Source organism: Homo sapiens, chromosome 10 (assembly GCF_000001405.40).
Source record: "Homo sapiens chromosome 10, GRCh38.p14 Primary Assembly".
NCBI classification, from domain to species: domain Eukaryota; kingdom Metazoa; phylum Chordata; class Mammalia; order Primates; family Hominidae; genus Homo; species Homo sapiens.
In genome coordinates, this window is record NC_000010.11 from 102,505,926 (window position 1) to 102,527,937 (window position 22,012).

The 22,012-nt window shown below is 46.4% G+C and overlaps 1 protein-coding gene across 12 annotated transcripts in view, besides 1 other annotated feature; it reads left to right on the forward strand.

Moving 5' to 3' along the window:
* The window catches only part of SUFU (SUFU negative regulator of hedgehog signaling), a 130,717-nt gene that overhangs the window by 3,107 nt on the left and 105,598 nt on the right, over positions 1 to 22,012 (forward strand). For 11 of the 12 annotated variants that reach the window (XM_047425335.1, XM_011539863.4, XM_047425336.1 and 8 more), the window contains one exon: positions 3,244 to 3,378. In XM_047425335.1, coding sequence (XP_047281291.1) covers positions 3,244 to 3,378 — 135 coding nt within the window. Of the gene's footprint in view, positions 1 to 2,353; positions 2,982 to 3,243; positions 3,379 to 22,012 lie in introns of those variants that run through there. The other variant, XM_047425339.1, reaches the window with a different exon arrangement.
* Positions 6,242 to 6,381: an enhancer, noted in NCBI's record as "active region_3939". NCBI's record gives its function as "activates an Ori minimal core promoter by ATAC-STARR-seq in GM12878 lymphoblastoid cells {active_cell/tissue: GM12878}" and the evidence as "EXISTENCE:reporter gene assay evidence [ECO:0000049][PMID:35858748]".

The window sequence follows — 22,012 nt, forward strand, 5'->3', positions numbered from 1 at the left end:
GCACAGTGGCTCATGCATGTATTCCCACCACTTTGGGAGGCCTTGAGGATCCCTTGAGGCCAGGAGTTCGAGACCAGTGTGGGGAGCGTAGCCAGACCCTAACTCTGTTATTTGAAAAAAAAAAAAAAAAAAAAAAAAAAAGAAGTGGGCCTGGCTCTGCCACGCTGTTTGTTCAGGCCTCATTTGAGTGTGAGGAGAAATCCCTACACAGATTCAGGCAACTATTTTTATGTCACCCAAGTAGCCATAAAGGATAGAATTGTATGTAAAAGGTATGAAAGCATGTGCAAAGGACTAAGGGCAATTTTTTTTTCCTTCCTGCTGCAAGCTTGTTAACAGCCATATCTTCAGAGATGGGCCAACATGTGATAATGAAGAAAAGGGATTATACAGCACTTTGTGAAAGCCCTTCCTAGATGCAGAAAAGTATAAAGAGAAACAGCACAGTGACTGGTACTTTCTTTTTTTTTTGAGACAGAGTTTTGCTCTGTCACCCAGGCTGGAGTGCAGTGGCACGATCTTGGCTTACTGCAACCTCTGTCTCCCGGTTTCAAGCGATTCTCGTGCCTCAGCCTCCCAAGTAGCTGATATTACAGGCACACGCCACCTTGCCCAGCTAATTTTTGTATTTTTAGTAGAGGCAGAGTTTCACCATGTTGGCCAGGCTGGTCTCGAACTCCTGACCTCAAGTGATCAACCCACCTCGGCCTCCCAAAGTGCTAGGATTACAGGCGTGAGCCAGTGCGACCAGCCATCAGTGACTGGTACTTTCTAAGATGTGGAGGGGTTTGCAAAAATAAGATCCTGAAATTCATTTATATTCCTCACATTTGGGATCCCACGAGGTTTCTAGCAGGATGACTGACCCAGGCTGTCTGGGTCTGTCTGTGGCCCAGGGTAGCTTGGGATTCATTTTGCAATAGCAGTGTGGCTCTGTGACTGGTGATCCCTGAGTAGTGGGGACATTCTAACTGAAAGCTGAGACTTTGGTGAGCAAGGATCAAAGCAGAGAGGCAGAACCTGTACTCATGGCCCACTTCAGTCCTGCAACTGCCCTGCAGAGAGAAGTTGGGTGTTCAAGGAATTAAGTTGAGGGATGCCCTGGGACCTTGGATAACATCATTTGCTAAGTGTAAAATGCGATTTTTTTCCACATACTCATCTGGCCTCTGAGTAGTAAGTAAACAGAATACTCTGTGCTTGGGGACAGGGTTAATTTTATCTGACTCTTGGTAGTTCCTTGCAGTTGGAGTTTGAAGGTTAAGCTTCTCTCCTTGATGTGACACCTTGTGGGAGACTTGGTGAGAAAGAGGGCTGCAGGGATGCTGCAGATGGAGCAGAGAATGGTAAACACAGTTTTGCAGCTTGGTGCAGGATGGACCTAGGCTGTAGCGGGGCAGGTTTGGAAATTTGCAGCAGGAAACTGGAGCAGGTATGGGGCCTGTAGTGGCTCTCATCTGCTCTGGAGTTCTGTAGCTCTAATGGGGTCTTTCCAGGGATCTCTACTCTTTTCTTTCTTCCCTTGCCCCACAAACTTTTCTAAATCCAACCTGTTGTAGAATTAGTCAAGTGATTTGTTGAAATCAGTTAAGGCAGACATGGAGAGTTGTCCCTCTTCCTCTGTTGAGATGCTAAGCTATTTGTAGCAACTTTCTTAAAAGTTCTATAAATAACTTAGCATTTCCTAACAGAGAATAGGGATTTCTATCCACAAAGGCAAATAATATCCTGGTGAAAGAGGACGAAACAAGACCAACTGGTTTTAAATAGTGTTTAAATTGCCTGGTGCTGGCACCATTGACTGGGATCACTTGTAACATGTCTTTTATTTGGTTGTTAGCTTTCCACCAGCATGCTATCCCAGTTGCAAAGTGTACTCCATCGATGTCCCAGGGGCAGGTGAAGCTTTTGCAGTCTGTGGAATGGTCAGATGTTTGAGGCAGCTCAAATGCCGTGTTTGTGGGCTAAATGCAGACTTCCTTCCACTGATGGTTTCTATTTGGTCTATTTCTCTAGCTACCAAAATTTCTTATCCATTTTTTTTTTTTTTTTTTTTTTTAGACAAAGTCTCACTCTGTCACCCAGGCTGGAGTGCAGTGGCGCAATCTTGGCTCCCTGCAACCTCTGCCTCTGTTGTCCAGGCGATTCTCCTGCCTCAGCCTCTCAAATAGCAAATAGCTGGGATTACAGGCACCTGCCACCACACCTGGCTAATTTTTTGTATCTTTAGTAGAGATGGGGTTTCACCATGTTGGCCAGGCTGGTCTCAAACTCCTGACCTCAAGTAATCCACCCACTTCGGCCTCCCAAAGTGCAGAGATTACAGGTGTGAGCCACCGTGCCCGGCCAAAACAGGATTTTTTTTAAAAAGCACTGATTACTAAAGGGAACTCTTATTGTATTAAATCCTCAGAGTGAGATAATAACTGAATCTCTTCCGCAACTCCTTCTCAGTTGAATGGTGGGGGAAATTTAATGTGGTCCTGAGAGGCCCCAAATCATTTACCATCCCAGCTCTACCTTTGATGTGGCAGTCTCTCCTGGGATCATTTTCTGGGTGCAGATGCTCACAGGGCGCAGTTTGACTCCTTCTGCAGTTCTCTGTGCAGAACTAAGTTAAGCCTAAGTTTGGCCTTTGTCACTTGCAATGATAAGAGACCAGCTTTGGTCTATGGGGTGCAGGCTGGTGTCAGCACAGACTAGAGGCTTTGGGTTTGTTTAGAACAAACTGTAATTAACATAGGGCACAATATAGTCTTTCAGGAATTAGCTGTCTAAGAGGCTGGAGTGGAGCAGAGCCTCTGCTTCCAGGAACAATGCCCATTGGGGATGCTTGGGATGGTCTTTCAACAGAGGCCAATTGATTGACTGATGTACCTCTTGCCTTGAAGCTTGGCATGTATACAGGCACCACAGAAGAGAGACAATCCCTGCCAATCTCATTTGGGATCGGTAATTTGAAACAGGAGAAAGCAAAATGGGTAACCATCCAGTCTGTTTTATTTCTAAAAGAGGCCCAGTCTTTCAGGGGTAGGAGAAGGGAGCCTCTTGGGCTTGCAGAGTTGGGCAGCCTTAGCTGTCCATCCCTTAGTCTCATTCTGGAGAGATGTGGCCTCTGTTTAGTTACCTTTCACCCAGGTTCCTCCAGGATGGGTCCTTTAGGTTTACAAAGTAGAGCGCCTTAGCTTGACATTGTCTGATTTCCAGGCTTACACTAACACCCCTGTGTTTTGTTTTTTGCAGGTTGGGTGGCCCAGACCCCTTGGACTATGTTAGCATGTACAGGAATGTGGGGAGCCCTTCTGCTAACATCCCCGAGCACTGGCACTACATCAGCTTCGGCCTGAGTGATCTCTATGGTGACAACAGAGTCCATGAGTGAGTATATGCCACCTGTTCTTTATCCAGAGCCTTATTCCTGAGGTCTTCCTGAGCAGGGGTGACAATGTCATAGTGCTGTGAGCATGGTACTTCTCCGTGGAACCTCTGCATTTCTGCCCTCTGACTATATCTACTCATGCCAAGGTGGTCCTCGTTAACACCTGATTCCTGCTTATCTAGTGCAGGAAAGTCTTGATGAGCAGGATTCCCAAATCAGGTTTTTCTAAGCTTGCCCTGGAGTTTGGGCTCATAGGACAGGAAGGTAGCATGGTTATGACTCAGAACTTGGGCTGATGCCTCTGTGTCTACTTCCTTTTATTCCCCTAGCTTATTATGAAACATTTTAAACATAAAGCAAAGTTGGAAGGATTTTATAGTGAACACTCATATACCCACAACCCAGATTCTACTGTTAACTTTATACTTGCTTTATCACAAATCTGTTCATCTCTTATCCTTTATCTATCTTACCTACTTCCTTTTAACCTGTATTTATTTATTTTTTTATCTTAGTCTGCTTCCGTTTGTTGCCCTATATGCTTTTTTTTGGAGATAGGGTCTCACTCTGTCATCCAGGCTAGAGTGCAGTGGTATGATCATGGTTCACTGCAGCCTCGACCTCCCTAGGCTCAGGTGATCCTCCAACCTCAGCCTCCCGAGTAGCTGGGACGACAGGCAAGCACCACCATGCCCAGCTAATTTTTGTAATTTTTTTGTAGAGACAGGGTTTCACCATGTTGCCCAGGCTGGTCTCAAACTCCTGGGCTTAAGCAGTTCTTCCACCTCAGCTTCCCAAAGTGTCGGGATTATGGGTGTGAGCCACTGTGCCCAACTCAGAGTTCATACTGTTAATGACTGTATTCTCTTGCCTTTTGAGCAATTATATCATGTACTCCAATAAGCTACCAACTATTTTTTTTAGAAACAGAGTCTCGCTTTGTTGCCCAGGCTGGAGTGCAGTGGGGTGATCTTGGCTCACTGCAAGCTCCACCTGCCGGGTTCACGCCATTCTCCTGTCTCAGCCTCCTGAGTACCTGGGACTATAGGCACCCACCACCACGCCCAGCTAATTTTTGTATTTTTAGTAGAGACGGGGTTTCACCATGTTAGCCAGGATGGTCTTGATCTCCTGACCTCGTGATCTGCCTGCCTCGGCCTCCCAAAGTGCTGGGATTACAGGCGTGACGACTGTGCCCGGCCTGCTACCATCTATATTTTAAAAAGATTTTTTTTGGCTGGGCACAGTGGCTCATGCCTGTAATCCCAGCACTTTGTGGGGCTGAGGCAGGTGGCTCACTTGAGGTCAGGAGTTCGAGACCAGCCCGGCCAACATGGTGAAACCTTGTCTCTACTAAAAATACAAAAAATTAGCCAGGCATGGTAGCATGTGCCTGTACTCCCAACTACCCCGGAGGCTGAGGCACGAGAATCACTTGAACCTGGGAGGCAGAGGTTGCAGTGAGCTGAGATCGTGCCACTGTGCTCCAGCCTGGGCAACAGAGTGAAACTGTGTCTTAAAAAAATAATAATTAGGCTGGGTGTGGTGGCTCACGCCTATAATCCCAGCACTTTGGGAGGTCGAGGCAGGCGGATCACCTGAGGTTGGGAGTTTGAGACAAGCCTGACCAACATGGAGAAACCCTGTCTCTACTAAAAATAATAAAATTAGCCGGGCGTGGTGGCACATGCCTGTAATCCCAGCTACTAGGGAGGCTGAGGCAGGATAATTGCTTGAACCTGGGAGGAGTAGGTTGCAGTGAGCCAAGATTGTGCCATTGTACTCCAGCCTGGGCAACAAGAGTGAAACTCCATCTCAAAAAAAAAAAAAAAAGTAATAATAATAATAATAATAATGAAAATAAACAAAGTTTTTTTTATTTATATTCTTTTGATGGAGAGTTTCTTTTCTTCAATTTAAATGTAATCTTTCTATGTTTGTATTCTGTCAATTAAAAATAAAATAAATAGTCTTCCCTCAACCTCATTAGCATGGTTAATCAAGAGCTGATTTTATTTGTATTGTCATATCCTCTTCTGGTTTTTGCCTTTTGTACTTTTTTGCCCCTTATACCATGTCTTTTCTATCTTGGTGGTGGCTGCTTAACCTGGGCAGGTTGAAAGAGTAGCAGGACTCGTCCTGTCCTGCCTTTGCATAGCGACCAATTCTGGAGATGATGATGGTATCATAAAGAAGATGATGATAGCCTTTTTTCCCTTTGTTTAGTACTTACTGTCTTCCGTGTCATTGTGTTAAATGCTTTACAATCTTATCAGGGTCTCGTTATTCCTATTTTATAGATAAGAAAAATGAGTCTCTTGAGGGGTTAAATGAATTGCTAAAGTTACAGATCTAGGGGTAAAAGAGCTGGGATTGAATTGGGCTGTTTGAGTCCAAAGTTTGAGCTTTTTTGTTTTGTTTTTTGAGACAGGGTCACGCTCTGTCACCCAGGCAGGAGTGTAGTGGCTCAGTCATGGCTCACTGCAGCCTCAACCTCCTGGGCTCAAGCAATTATCCCACCTTAACCTGCCAAGGAGCTGGGACTACAGGCATGCACCACCACACCTGGCTAATTTTTCAAATTTTCTGTAGAGTTGAGGTCTCACTATGTTGCCCAGGCTGGTCTCAGATGCCTGGGCTGAAGCGATCTTCCTGCCTTGGCCTCCCAGAGTGTTGGGATTACAGGCGTGAACCACTGTATTCAGCCTCAGAGTTTGAGCTTTTAACCACTGGGCTATTCCACCTCTCTGAACACAGGCCTAACCCAACTTCCTCTTCTCTCTTGTTAAGCTCAGAGGCCCAGGTTTCATCTCTTCGCTGGTCACGTGTTGGGAGCAATGTCTGCAGCTGCCTTTACAGCCTTCCAAATGGATTCATTGCAGTGTCAGCAGAAGGATTTGGGAAGAGGGAATTAATCTTGCCTGAATGGGGACCCAGCATTACAGTATTAATAATGGAGATAGAATAGCAAACAGATGTGGGGAGTAAAGAGACTATGCTGGACCTTAATTTATATTTTTAATAAGAACCTGCAGAGAGTATTTAGTGCAGCTAGCCTGTACCTTTTTGTTGACAGATTTATTCTGGTTAAAAGAATATCATTTCCTATGTGGCTTAAGGATTCTTCCAGTCTACCTGCTAGGTATAGGCCCAAGGCCCAAAATAACATGAAGAATGTGATTGAGCAAGCCTCATATTTCAGAAGGGGCAACCTCTTAATTTGAAATAGGACCTTTCTTATTGTTTTTTTCTGGTTTAATACTATCCTCTTACATGTGTTTCATTTCTACATGGTACAGCACTTTGTATTCATATGTCATTTATGACAAGAGTGAAACCTCTATTTGGGTTTTCATGTCACCAATCAAGCCTAGTATTTTCCAGTATTACATCCTGGCACTAGAAGAATGTGGAAGGAATGTTCTCAGATATTTACCCAGTTCTGGTCTATGTTGCAGAAGTCAAAAGTACTTCTATAGGCTGCGCATGGTGCCTCATGCCTATAGTCCTAGCACTTTGGAGGTCAAGGCAGGAGGATCGCTTGAGCCCAGGAGTTTGACACCAGCCTGGGGAACATAGTGAGACCCTCCCCCATCTCTACAGAAAATACAGAAATTAGCCAGACATGGTGGTGTGCATCGTAGCCCTAGCTGCTTGGGGGGCTGAGGTGGGAGGATCACTGGAGCCTGGGAGTTTGAAGCTGCAGTAAGCCATAATTGCACTACTGCGCTCCAGTTTGGGTAACAGAGCGAGACCCTATCTCAAAAAATAAATAAAGAAAGAAAAATAATAAAACACGAATAGGTACCTTTATAATTGGCTTTGTACTGGGATGACTGGTTTCTTTTTGATCCTGTTAAGTTTCTTGAAGAAAAATGTGATTTTCCACACATTTCGTAATGGTGGGGCCTCTTTAAAATGACTTAATGAATCCTCATTTAAATTAGTACTCAAAGCTAGGCCAGAAAGGCAAGTGTTCTGCCATCCAGCTTAAGTGCTAAGGGGCGCTGGGTTGGAATGATGGCAAATGGATCTCTGGCAACAATTCTTCCACTGTCTGTGTCTTCTCTTCAGCAAAAAAGGAGCAGAAGCATTGATTCATTTTTTCAGCACACATTCATCAAGCACCTACTTTGTATCAGACACAGAACATCGTAATAGATGTCTTGGGGGATAAAATAGCAAGACATAATTCTTGTCTGAAGGAGCTCATGTTCTAGAGGGGAGATAAACATGTAAAGATGGTTATAATATTGAGTAATAAATGCTACAGTCCATGGGTGTAAAACACGGTCTGGGAGCAGAGCAGAGGGAGTAACTTCTAGTGAGGCTGCTGAATTGCTAGAGGCTGCAGTGAGGAGGTAGCGTTTGAGAGGAACCCTGTAGGAAGGGGCCTGGGATGCCATCTGCAGCCTGACGCGGTACCAACAACGCTTTTAGGAGTGAGAGGGACTTGAAAAACCTTCTAGCTCAGTATTTCAAAAACTTCTAGTGCCACTTTCATAATTGTTGCCACTTGTAGTATTATTTACTTCATGTTCCTTTTAAGTTATCCTCTCCTTTTTTAAACTGATATGAATTTATTTTTATTTTTATTTTTGAGATGGTCTCGCTCTGTTGCCTAGGCTGGAGGGCAGTGGCGAGGTCACGGCTCACTGCAGCCTCAACCACTCTGGCTCAAACGATCCTCCTACCTCAGCCTCCCAAGTAGCTGGGACCACAGGCATGCACCACCACACCCGGCAAATTTTTTTTTTTTTATTGTTGACACGAGGTCTTGCTATGTTGCCCAGGCTGGTCTCGAACTACTGGACTCAAGCAATCCTCCTGCCTTGGCCTCTCAAAGTGCTGGAATTGCAGGCAAGAGCCAGTGCTCCTGGCAACGGCATTTATTAAATGCCTGCTGTGTACCTCCTCCTATTATGATCTTTCCTTCTCCTCACAGCCTGTTGAGGGTAGGGACAGGCAGAAGCGAGGGGTCCTCTGCATTTCTTCTTGCTCCTGGCAGGCATGCTTCAGGGTCAGGAGGGGATGCCCACCCTGGTAACCCTAAAAGGGATGAAGAGTATGATGATTTGATAAGCCTTGGGATGGCCATTTTCATTCAAGTTCTTTCCTTATTCACATTCACTAAAGGAAACCAGGCAAGAGAGCACTTGTTTTGATCAAGATTCTTAAGAAGCCATTTCTGAAGTTGGAGAGATGGAACAAGTTCCAGGTCTGGGCAGCCACAGGAGAGAACAGAGTGCTTTTCTAGGAACCCCAAGGCTGCTCCCAACTGACCTGAGTGGAGAAATTGTCCTGTGGGACTCTTCCCTGGGACTTGGGAGGTGTCAGACAGCTGAGCCTCAGCTGCCAAGTGCTGTCGGAGCTTGCAGCTCTGGCCTTCCCCTTCATGGCCAGCTAGCTGTGGACTGGAATGTGGGGATCTATGCGGCTGTAGAAGTGGTTTCAGCATCACTCTGTGAGGATTTCTGGCTGTCCCTGGTACCACCAACAGCTCTGGCTAGACAGAGCCTATGGGGCCCTAACCGAGGCTGGAAGGCTGGGTAGTTGGAGAGTGCATTTGAGAACTCAGGCAGACTTCCCTGGTGGGATTTTCCCAGGGCAGGTCATCTGCTGTACAAGTCGGGCTGGTTCCAAAGACAGCCTTTGTGTGGAGTTGGCCCAAAAGCATGGGTCATGCCCATGCCTCACCACCATGGGTGATCTAGGCTCTGTCTCACAAATGTGACTTCTTGGCGCACATGTCCAGTGGAGTTTGGAGCAGTTCTGCACCCCCCGTGGGGTCTGGAACTGCCGCTGACCGGCTTTCTGGGGCTGCCTCCACCCGGTTGGTGGAGAGCCTCCCTTTCCCTTGTGTTCTTCTTAGCTGGGCTCTGCACCCGCATGAGTTATTTATTAAAACACTGGATACAGATTAACTTTTCCACTTGTTGTTTAGTGTGGCCTCCGTCTCCTGCAGTTGAGAAATGCTAATTTTTCCTCCTCAAAGCTTAGTTTGCCGGAACTTTTTTTTTTTTTTTTTTTGAGACGGAGTCTTGCTCTGTCACCCAGGCTGGAGTGCAATGGTGTGATCTCACTCACTGCAACCTCCACCTCCCTGGTTCAAGTGATTCACCTGCCTCAGCCTCCCAAGTAGCTGGGACTACAGGCGCATGCCACCATGCCTGGCTAATTCTTGTATTTTTAGTAGAGACGGGGTTTCACCATGTTGGCCGGGCTGGTCTCGAACTCCTGACCTCAGGTGATCCACCCACCTCAGCCTCCCAAAGTGCTGGGATTACAGGTGTGAGCCATCCCGCCTGGCCTGCAGGAACTTTTTAACATGTCGTTTCCAAGAGAGATCCTTTCTTCGCCATACACATCTGTACTGGGAGCTTGGTCCCTCCTCTGGTTGGACCTTTGCCCTCCTCCTAGAGCTCTCATGAGGCTGGCAACCAGAATGCCTCCCTAAGCCACTGGACCCACCCCTGGCTAAGTTTAGCAGGCTAAAAGAAGTGTTCTGCAGGCTCATTGGGGGGCACACCTCCCTGAAGCCTGGTCCCTCTGCCTTTCCTCTCAGGGATGTTCAGTGTCAGGATGACTATTTGCATGAGATGGTGGAGTTCCCTGCTAAGAACAGGTGATCTGGACCACCAAGCAAGCGTGAGGCGTCCTTTGTCACGGCCCAGTGTGGGGCAGGGCCCAACAGGGACTCTCCAGAGCCCTTCCTGAGGCCAAAGCTTTCACTTAGGGTTGGAGTTCAGGCCCCAAATCTCTGAATTTGTGAATTTTTAAATGTTGAGGAGAATTTCTTTTCTTTTTCTTTCTTTCTTTTCTTTTTTTTTTTTTTTTTTGAGATAGAGTCTTCCTTTGTTGCCGAGGCTGGAGTGCAGTGACACGACCTCGACTCTGCTGAGATTATTTATAGGTGTGCGCCACCATGCCCGGCTAATTTTTTATTTTTATTAGAGATGGGGTTTTACTATGTTGGCCAGGCTGGTCTCAGACTCCTGACCTCAAGTGATCTACCCGTCTCAGCCTCCCAAAGTGCTGGGATTTCTTTTCTTTTGTAGCTACAGGAAGACCTGTATTGTGGGGGTTCCCAGCAGATGTCTGTGGGTGCATGGCTTCATCCTTTATAAAGCATTTCATTTGCAGCATGGATTGTTTCTTCCTTCATGGGGTAAGGGTTACAAATTCTCCAATTCAGAGAGTCCCTCAACAGTTGGGAAAAAACTTGTCCAGCTGGCCCAGTTAAACTCAATTTTCTTTTTTTTGAGACAGAGTCTCGCTCTGTTGCCAGGCTGGAGTGCAGTGGCACGATCTCGGCTCACTGCAACCTCCACCTCCCGGGTTCAAGCGATTGTCCTGCTTCAGCCTCCCAAGTAGCTGGGATTACAGGTGCCCGCCAACACGCCCAGCTAATTTTTGTATTTTTAGTAGAGATGAGGTTTCACCATGTTGGCCAGGATGGTCTCGATCTCTTGACCTTGTGCTGGGATTACAGGTGTAAGCCTCTGTACTGGCCTAAACTCACTTCTAAAAAGCCTGTAGCTGGGCATGGTGGCTCACATCTGTAATCCCAGCATTTTGGGAGGCTGAGGTGGGCGGATCACCTGAGGTCAGGAGTTCGAGACCAGCCTGGCCAACATGGTGAAACCTGTCTCTACTAAAAATACAAAAATTAGCCGGGTGTGGTGGTGGGCACCTGTAATCCCAGCTACTGGGGAGGCTGAGACAGGAGAATCGCTTGAATCCAGGAGGTGGAGGTTGCAGTGAGCCGAGACTGCATCATTGCACTCTAGCCTGGGCAATAAGAGTGAAACTCCATCTCAAAAAAAAAAAAAAATTAGCTGGGCATGGTGGCACACACCTGTAAACCAAGCTACTTGGGAGGCTGAGGCAGGAGAATCGCTTGGACTCGGGGGCCAGAGATTACACTGAGCCGAGATCTCGCCACTGCACTCCAGTCTGGGTTAAGGAGTGAGACTCTGTCCAAAAAAACAAAACAAAGCAAAACAAACAAACAAAAAGAACAACTGAGTGGTGTGGTATTGTAAGTGACTACCAGGCCAGAGTGGTGCCAGGTAGGTCAGCGCTGGGAAAGTTCCTTCTCTTCCTCAAGAGACTTGGAAGCCTTTATGGGTTTGATGCAATCTGATCTCTCAGTCCCGGGATTTTTCCCTGTTCAGCCCACCCTTTTGGGCTCTCCTCTTCCAAGCTGTGCTGTTATCTATTTTGAATGCTATTCCCCATACCTCTCATGTCCTGGGTCTGAGTTTGCTAGCCTCTCCCTTATCCACCTTTCTGATTCAGGGGTCCCAACTCTGGCCTTTGGCCCTTGACTCCTGAATTCATTCATGTATCTTGCCTCTGAGGTATTCAGTGCAGCTTCATTTCTTGTTTCAGTTCTGATGTTGTTCCTGAGATGTGTCTGGTGGGATCTTATCCTCTATGACCTCAGCCCTGAGGAATGGTATCCTCACCCGTCCAACTAACTTTGCAGCTTGCTGTCCTGCCTACCAAGCTCTTGAGAACCAGGCTGTGCAGCACACTCACCAGCAGAGCTATCTTGAGTCCCCTGTACAGGCAGAACATTGGACAAGATGATGTGTTTGAGTGTGGAGACAATGAAGAATCTGACCGAGCGCCTGCCCTTAAAAATGCAGCATGTGCTTGGTAGGAGATGGTGAGGTCCTTGAGAAAGAAGATGACAGTGAGGATTGGGACTGGGAGCAGCTTCCTGTCTCCCTGTGACTTTGAGGCTCTCTCCCCTCATCCTGTGATCTTCAGTGTTCCAAGAAACTTTAAACATATAATTATTATTACAAACAATTATAGCCCTTACTTTGTATAAGGCACTTTTCTAAGTGCTTTATATAAACTCATTTAATCCTCAGAACAACTCTATGGTGTAGGACTTATTATCCTTATTTTACACATAAGGAAACTGAGATGCAGAAATGTTAAGGAACTCATCCACCCAGCCAGTGAATGCTGGAACTGGGATATAAACCCAGGCAGTCTGGATCCAGTAGTCACCACCTCCTTTTTCTACCTCCTGCAGAGAGCTGGAGAATTCTATTCAGAATTATGCTGCTAAATTCAAAGTTATCTTGGATTAATGGAATGAAATGATCAAGACTGAGTAGAGTTAACCAGAAAGTGCTTTGTGGGGGGAAATGTTGAGCTGGATGTAGAAGCTATCTATCTAACTGTCTGTCTGTCTGTCTATCTATCTATCTATCTATCTATCTATTTATTTATTTATTTTTGACACAGGGCCTGGCCCTCTCGCCCAGGCTGGAGTGCACTGGCTCCATCTTGGCTCACTGCAACCTCTGCTTCCCAGGCTTAAGTCATCCTCCTACCTCAACCTCCTGAGTAGCTGGTACTGCAGGCATGCACCATCATGCCTGGCTAATTTTTATACTTTTTGTAGAGATTGGGTTTTGCCATGTTGCCCAGGCTGGTCTCAAACTCATGAGCTCAAGCCATCCCAAAGTGCTGGGATTATAGACGTGAGTCACCGCACCCGGCCTGGAAGCAGCTTTTAAAGAAAGGGTCTGGCCGGGTGCGGTGGCTCACACTTGTAATCCCAGCACTTTGGGAGGCCGAGGCAGGCGGATCATGAGGTCAGGAGATCGAGACCATCCTGGCTAACACCCTGAAACCCCGTCTCTACTAAAAAAATAGAAAAAATTAGCCAGGCGTGGTGGCAGGCGCCTGTAGTCCCAGCTAGGCGGGAGGCTGAGGCAGGAGAATGGCATGAACCCGGGGGGCGGAGCTTGCAGTGAGTGGAGATGCGCCACTGCACTCCAGCCTGGGAGACAGCGAGACTCTGTCTCAAAAAAAAAAAAAAAAAAGAAAGAGTCCTTCAGGGCAATGGCAGGAGGGTAAAATGGGACAGCAGGTGACAGGTGTCATCTCTCAAGTCAAGACTTCACCAACCAGGCTGGGCATGGTGGCTCACTCGTGTAATCCCAGCACTTTGGGAGGCTGAGGCAGGTGGATCACCTGAGGTCGGGAGTTCGAGACCGACCTGGCCAACATGGTGAAACCGTCTCTACTAAAAAAAACCACGAAAATTAGCCGGGCCTGTTGGCGGGCACCTGTAATCTCAGCTCTTCAGGAGGCTGAGGCAGGAGAATGGCTTGAACCCACGAGGCAGAGGTTGCAGTGAGCTGAGATCATGCCATTGCACTCCAGCTTTGGCAACAAGAGAGAAACTCTGTCTCAAAAAAAAAAAAAAAAAGTCTTCTGCAACCTTATCGTAGTCATTTACAGTAAGTTGCCAGGAAAGTCTGCAACTTTTAAAAACATAAAAATTTCTGGCTTAGATGGCAAGTTCCCATGGTCATGCTGCTGCTTCTGTGGTCAGGGATGTGCCCAGCATCTCAGTGATCCTTATATCAATGCAGATAGTCATTTAAAATTTTTTAAATTCCTTTAATGATTTATTTTTAATCAATAGACTTTATATTTTTGTGGGGTTTTTTTGAGATGGAGTCTCGCTCTGTCGCTCAGGCTGGAATGCGGTGGCATGATCTCAGCTCACTGCAACCTCCGTTTCCTGGGTTCAAGCAATTCTCCTGCCTCAGCCTCCCGAGTAGCTGGGATTACAGATGCCCACCACCACGCCCAGCTAATTTTTGTATTTTTAGTAGAGAGGGGGTTTCGCCATGTTGGCCAGGCTGGTCTTGAACTCCTGACCTCAGGTGATCTGCCCACCTCGGCCTCCCAAAGTGCTGGGATTACAGGTGTGAGCCACCGCGCCTGGCCAGTTTCCCCTATTATTAACACCTTGCATTATTGTGGTTTATTTGTTATCATTGGGGAACCAATATTGATACTTATTACTACCTTAAGTCCATAGTTTACCTTAGGCTTCACTCTTTGTGTTGTACAGTTCTTTTTTCTTTCTTTTTTTTTTTTTTTTTTTTTTGAGGCAGAGTTTCACTCTTGTTGCCCAGGCTGGAGCACAATGGTGCGATCTCAGCTCACTGCAGCCTCCGCCTCCTGGGTTCAAGTGATTCTCCTGCCTCAGCCTCCTGAGTAGCTGGGACTACAGGCACCCGCCACCACGCCCGGCTAATTTTTTTGTATGTTTAGTAGAGATGGGGTTCTACCATGTTGGCCAGGCTGGTCTCGAACTCCTGACCTCAGGTGATCCAACCACCTCGGCCTCCCAAAGTGCTGGGATTACAGGCGTGAGCCACCGTGCCTGGCCAGTTCTTGGGTTTTGACAAATGCATGTCATGTATATACCATCACAGCACCATACAAACTAGTTTCACTGCTCTAAAAATTCCTTGTGCTCCACCTGTTCATTCCTCCCTCCCCCGAAACCCCTGGCAACAACTGTTTGGTTTTTTTTACTATCTCTGTAGTTTTTGCCTTTTCCAAAAGGTCATAGAGTTGGAATCAAATAGTATGTAACTTTTGCAGACTAGCTTCTTTCACTGAGTAATATACAGTTAAGATTCCGCCGTGCCTTTTGGTGACTTGATAGCTCCTTTCTTTTTATCACTTGATACTATTCCATTGTTTGTTATGTACCACAGTTTATTCTTTCACCTTTTGAAAAATATCTTGATTGCTTCCAGTATTTTTTGGCGATTTTTAATTAAGCTTCTATAAACATTTGTATACAGGTTTTTGTGTGGACATACGTTTTCAACTCATCTGGGTAAATCCCTAGGAATGTAATGCTAGATCGTATGTTAAGACTATGTTTAGCTTTATGAGAAGCTGCCAAACCATTTTCCATAGTGGCTATACCATTTTTCATTCCCACTAGCAATGAATGAGAGTTCCTATTGTTTCATGTCCTCACCAGCATTTGGTATTGTCTGTTTTTTGGATTTTAGCCATTCCAATAGGTGTGGAGTGGTATCTAATTGTTTTAATTTGCAGTTCTCTCATGACATATGCTGTTGAGCGTCTTTTCATATGCTTGTCTGTCATCTGTATATCTTCTTTGGTGACATATCTTTGTTTTTCTTCCTAACCTCCAGCCACTCCCCATTCTACCTCTGCCCATACATACCTTTTTCTCACATCATGGGTTCAGACCATGGGGCTAATTATGCTTTCTGGCATATTTTTCTTTTGGTCACTTCTCAAGCCGTTAAATGAGTTAGATCCGCTGAGTAGGTGCTGGGCCTACCTCTGAATTCCTAAGTTGCTGTTGGTTTTAACTGGGGCTGGCTCATGAGTTCTCCACCTTATATTCTCCAATGATGGTGTCTTCCATAAAGTGTAGCTGCTACTGAGATTTGCAACCTCAATCCTAAGGTTTGAGATTGATTCTGCCCTCCAGTACAGACTGTAGAGAGACTGGTATGCAGATTTGTCCATTCCATACCCTATTGGGCTTAACCTTGCCTTTGATGAGAAATGCATATACCATGCTCCTTTGAAGCCCCAACCAGATCTCAAACTCTCATAGTTGAACCAGCATCAAGAAGACAAAGTCTAAAACTTTCCTGGCCTGGCCTTTTGCTGTTAAATTCGTTATTGTTATCCAATGTCTTAGTTGTAATTTTGCTTTTTTTCACTTATAAAAACAGTTGAACCATTTTACTAAAAATGTTGGGAATTAGAAATGGGAGAAAACAATTACTGATAATCCTATCACCTTTTGTTTACAATTCTATGTCTGTTCTTATGATGATTTCTGTAAATGATTCTATAAATAACTGGGAGTGACGCTGTCCCAGTTGTGCACAGGGCTTTTGCTTTGCGTGCATCTCATCTTCTTAGTGAGGACTTAACATCTTCTGAGGCTTCCCTGCTACCTGCTTAACGCTGTTGTCTGAATTCAGCTTGCCCACTGTTGCTAGGGTTTCTAGATTCTGAAAACAGCACATTTGCTTGGGAAGATAGCTCTTACCCACTGCCATGTTACATTAACGATATTCCCATTTTTCCTCCTTGACGTCTCACAGCAGTGAAGAGTGGTTTAGGTAGTATATGTATGAACTGTGCTGTTTGCCTACTTCTCAGATCACAGCTTTACTATCACAAATGGTGGTAGCTGTCCTGAGGGGTTGTGTTCTTCCAGTTGTTGCTTTTATTGTTATTTTCCCCTTAGAACAGTCAAGATTTGGTGATCAGTGTCACCTGGAATAAATACCACACGCCTCCTCCTTTCTCTCTTTCTTGGGTGCGTGGTACAGAAGACTGAGATTGGCTTACAGAGTGCCCCAGGGTCCTTGTACTCGAGGGACACAGAAGGTTCACAGGCATAAGCACAAATGCCTAGAGCTCCTTTTCAGGTAATTGCCTGAAACAAATGGGCTACCATTTAGGGCTTCTGTCACACAGGAAGTCAGATAACTTAATACTACTGTATGTTTGCAGCAGGACTAGATCTAGAGATCTAGAGAAGGAGTGGCCCACTGTCCTTTCCTAGCACTGGGTTGTGGGTAAGCAGACACACTTAGTTCCCATCCAGCGTTGATCGCTGTCCTCTCTTCTTTGGAAGGCCAGACGTTAATCTGCTCCGTAGATTGTCATCGTTGGGACACAGTTCTGGGCATGAGGCTTGTAGTAACAAGCAACATAAACCTGGTCCTGGTCCTCATTGGGCTGAAGGGTCCTTGAGCTAGAAGACATTGTGGGGAGGTGGGCCTGATACAGTTTCACAGCCTTAGGTTATCACCTGGTGCCTCTTTGTCTCCTCTTCAGCAGTCCATGGCTTGAGGCCTAGTGGAGGGCTCTTGGCAAGCAGGAGTCCTGAGGCTCAGAAATGATGTGACCAGGCCTGAGTTTGAGGCTGAGACAGTTGTCCATTTGTCAGCGAGATCATAGCTTCACAGCAGCTTCTCAGAGAGGTATGGTTCACTGGACTCCAGGCCCCTAGCATGTTAGTAAAAGATAGTGGCCCTCACAGATCCCTTTCCTTCCTACTCCTATGTTACTCAGTCTCTTGGAGTCCCTGGTCATAGAATCAGCTTAGCCACAGGAAGGCCAATCAAAGAGATGTCTTGTTTTTCTAGTACTAACCCTCATGTGATACCTGGGGCCTCTTGGAGCCCTGCCTCCGACCACCAGTTTCTCTTACTCTGACCTCAGGCCTTTCAACATGATGTCAGGCTGCCCACGGCCATGGCTGTAGGGAAGAGTAACTGCTAGAGAATGGGACTTGGCCCAGGCTACCAGTCCCAGGGGGGTCGAGCTGGCTGGCTGTGCTTTTGGCCTGTGATGGATTTGACTCTTCAAGGCTTCTGACAAAGCTTGGTTGGTTAGAGGAAAAATGTAGTGAAAACCTACAGGCAACACCATGGCTTGCCCTAACCCTCTCGTCTTCCTGTTCTAGCTTTTCCCATATATCAGGTTGCAGACATGCTGAATTCCCACCCTCCTGGAGCCAAGCTGCCAATTTCTCATTCCTGTAACCAGTGGTTTTGTGTAGATAAAAGGCCCAGAAGGAAGATGGTCGCTGAGCAGGGAGCCTTCGGAGTTAGACCTTCTTTAGCCAGGGCCAGTGGACACTCATCTCATGAATCATGCTCAGAACCATCCAGTGGCTTCATGTCTCACTTGAGTAAAGGCCAAAGGCCATCACCTTTAAGGTCCTTTGTACTCTACTTCAATCGGCCTTCTCTCTGACTGCTCTGCTCTTCCTATTCTGCCCCCCTTGCTTTTCCTCTGAAGTGCCAGGCATTCTTCTACCTCAGGGCCTTTGCACTTACTCTCCCTATGCCTGCAAAGTTCTGCCTGCAGATAGCTTCATACCTTACCTCACTTCCTTAGACCCTTTCGCAAATAACTTCTCTCAGTTAGGCCTTCCCTGACCTCCTTATTTAAAAAGGAAATCCTGCACCCTCCTCCCACAAAGCAGTATCCCCCTTTCCTGCCTAATTCTTCTTTTTAAAAAGTTATATATATTTGTATAGTCAGGGTCTCACTATGTTACCCAGGCTGGTCTCGGACTCCTGGACTCAAGCGATCCTTCTGTCTTGCCTCCTAAAGTGCTGAGATTACAGACATGAGCCACCGCACCCAGCCTAATTTTTCTTTTTCTTTTCTTTTCTTTTTTTTTTTTTTGAGATGAAGTCTAGCTCTGTTGCCCAGGCTGGAGTGCAGTGGTGCAATCTCGGCTCACTGTAACCTCCGCCTCCTGGGATCAAGCGATTCTCCTGCCTCACCCTCCCAAGTAGCTGGGACTACAGGCACGTGCCACCACACCTGGCTAATTTTTATATTTTTTGTAGAGACGGGGTTTCACCATGTTGGCCAGGCTGGTCTCAAACTCCTCAAGTGATCTGCCTGCCTCAGCCTCCCAAAGTTCTGGGATTACAGGCGTGAGCCACCGTGCCCAGCCTATTTCTTCTTTAAAACACTTATCACTTCTGCGATGTCTATTATGCTTTAAGAAATTTTTTTTTAAATTACCATCTAGCTTATTTTACTTACTTACTTATTTGTCTTGTTTATTGTCTGTCCCCCCTCCTTCCCACTAGAACATAAGCTCCCTGAAGATAAGGATGGAAATGTGCTTTATCCATTAATGTTTCTCCAGTACATCAGTAAATATTTGTTGAACAAATGAATAAAATGGAGGAAGCTCTTGCTTTGGGGTTTTTCCGACTGTTGGAAAAATATTCTCACCACTGGAGACGGAGAATTCTCCTGGCCCAGCACCAAGCCCGAGCTTTTAGCTCATTCAAGAGCACTTCTTCAGTTTGGACCCTTATTCCCATAGGAGAGGAGACATTCCAAGGGCATTTTCATAGGAGTCAGAACCCTTCTGTGGGAGGAGGTATGTGATTTTGGAAAAATTGTCTGAACCTTGCTTTATTTTATTTTATTTTATTTTATTTTTTATTTTTGAGACGGAGTCTCTCTCTGTCGCCCAGGCTGGAGTGCGGTAGTGTAATCTCGGCTCACTGCAACCTCCACCTCCTGGGTTCAAGTGATCCTCCTGCCTCAGCCTCCCAAGTAGCTGGGATTACAGGGCACGCTACCACGCCTGGCTAATTTTTGTATTTTTAGTAGAGATGGGGTTTTGCCATGTTGGCCAGGCTGGCCTCAAACTCCCGGCCTTAAGTGATCTGCCCACATCAGCCTCCCAAAGTGCTGAGATTATAAGCATGAGCCACCGTATCTGGCCTGAACCTTGCTTTATGAGGTGAGGGAGTACCTCCATCCCAGCAACTGGCACAGTGCTTAGTATGTGTCAAGCACTTAATTTATTTTCTTTTTTTGTTTGGTTTGAGATGGACCCTTGCTCTGTCGCCCAGGCTGGAGTGTAGTGGTGCGATCTTGCGATCTCAGTTCACTGCAACCTCTGCCTCCTAGGTTCCAGCGATTCTCCTGCCTCAGTCTCCTGAGTAGCTGGGATTACAGGCACGCAGTACCATGCCCAACTAGTTTCTTGTATTTTTAGTAAAGATGGGGTTTTGCCATGTTGGCCAGGCTGGTCTTGAACTCCTGACCTCAGGTGATCCACCTGCCTCGGTGTCCCAAAGTGCTAGGATTACATGCATGAGCCACTGCACCTGGCCTATTTTCATAAATTTTTAGAGCACATTACCTAAATATCCAGTGCTTTCTTAGTGCTGAGGATACCATGGAAAGCAAAGCAGGCAAGGTTTCTGCTCTCATGAATCTTATATTCTTATTGGAGAAACATGAAAAATTTTATATAGTTTTAGATAGTACAAGTGCTGTGTTGAAAATAAAGCAGGGCCCCAGCTACTCAGGAGGCTGAGGTGGGAGGATCACTTGAGCTCAGGAGTTCTGGGCTATTATGCACTATGCCAGTCAGGTGTCCACACTAAGTTCAGCATCAATATGGTGACCTCCCAGGAGCATGGGACCACCAGGTTGCCTAAGGAGGGGTGACCTGGCCCAGTAGGTCAAAACTCCTGTGCTGATCAGTAGTGGGATTGTGCCTGTGAATAGCCACTGCACGCCAGCCTGGGCAACATGGGGAGACCCTGTCTCTTAAAAAAATGAAAGTAAAGCAGGGCGCCAAGTGTGGTGACTCATGCCTCTAATCCCAGCACTTTGGGAGGCCACGGGGGGGTGGATCACTTGAGCCAGGAGTTCGAGAGCAGCCTGGGCAATGTGGTGAAACCCCATCTCTACAAAAAATACAAAAATTAGTCAGGCATGGTGGTGCGTGCCTGTAGTCCCAGCTACTTGGGAGGCTGAGGTGGGAGGATCGCTTGAGCCCAGGAGGCAGAGGCTGCAGTGAGCCAAGATCGTGCCACTGCACTCCAGCCTAGGTGACAGAGTGAGACCCTGTCTTAAAAAAATAAATAAAATTAAAAAAGCAGGGATGGTACTCTGGAGCTTACATGGGTAGAAGTAGTGGTTGAGGTGGGTGGGGAGGATGCTGTTAGCAGTAATCAGTGATGGCTTCCTTGAAGATTTGAACTGAGACCTCAAAGACCGGTGGCAGCCAGGGCTGTCACATTGTACAACTCTAGGGCCACCGTTCACATTATTCTGTGCAATTGCTGCCCCCTGGAGTTGTACAATGCTGGGAGTCCTGATGAAGGTCCTAGGCAGTGAAACAGCTAGTATAAAGGCCCTGAGGGCAGCACGGACCTCGAAGTGTTTAAGGAAAAGAAAGAAGGCCAGTGCATCTGAGGCTTGGTAAGAGAGAACAGTGGAACAAGATGAGGTTGCAGAGTTTGAAGACAATGTAAAGAATGTGACATTCAATAAATTATAATTATTATTATTGTTTTTTTTTTTTTTTTTTTTTGAGATGGAGTCTCGCTCTGTCGCCCAGGCTGGAGTGCAGTGGCAGTGGTGCGATCTCAGCTCACTGCAAGCTCCGCCTTCTGGTGTCATGCCATTCTCCTGCCTCAGCCTCCCAAGTAGCTGGGACCACAGGCACCCACCACCACGCCTGGCTAACTTTTTGTATTTTTAGTAGAGACAGGGTTTCACCGTGTTAGCCAGGATGGTCTCGATCTCCTGACCTTGTGATCCGCCCACCTTGGCCTCCCAGAGTGCTGGGATTACAGGCGTGAGCCACCGCGCCCGGCCGACATTCAATAAATTATTTGTTGACTGATGAGGAAAGAAAAAGGATGATATGATGGAGGCTGGAGTGGGGTTTTAGGAAGCATTCCAGTGTGGGACCTCAGCTTTAGTATGAAGACAGGAGAACTGAGTTGAGTGACGGTTTTATTTCCCCAAAAAGGAAATAGTAGCAAAAGTGGCTCAAAGGAAATACCATTAAGATATATATATATATATGTATATTTATAGTACATCATGACATTCAAAGCCATGAAGATATTTGAATCTACTTTGATAGTGACTAAGAGGGAGGCACATTGCTTTTTAATACCATCTTATCTTGTTGAATGTCTCGGCTTGATTATCTCTTTGGGTGGCAGTGGGAATATTATTACCATTTAGCATTGCTCAGCCATGACATGATGTATTCATGTACAGAACACACAAAAAGTACAGTCCTTGCCCTTGGGGAACTGAAATGCCAAAAAGATTTGTTTCTTCCCATTGCCCTGTTTAGGTTTCTTGATCTTCTGGGATGGCTGGCTTCCCAGAGTTCTGGAGGAGAGTGGGTGGACAAAAGGCCCTTGGGTAGATGCCTTGCCTCTTGGGTCAGTAAGAAGTCCCCAAGCTGCATACTTAGGCACAGAGGGCACCTCGCTT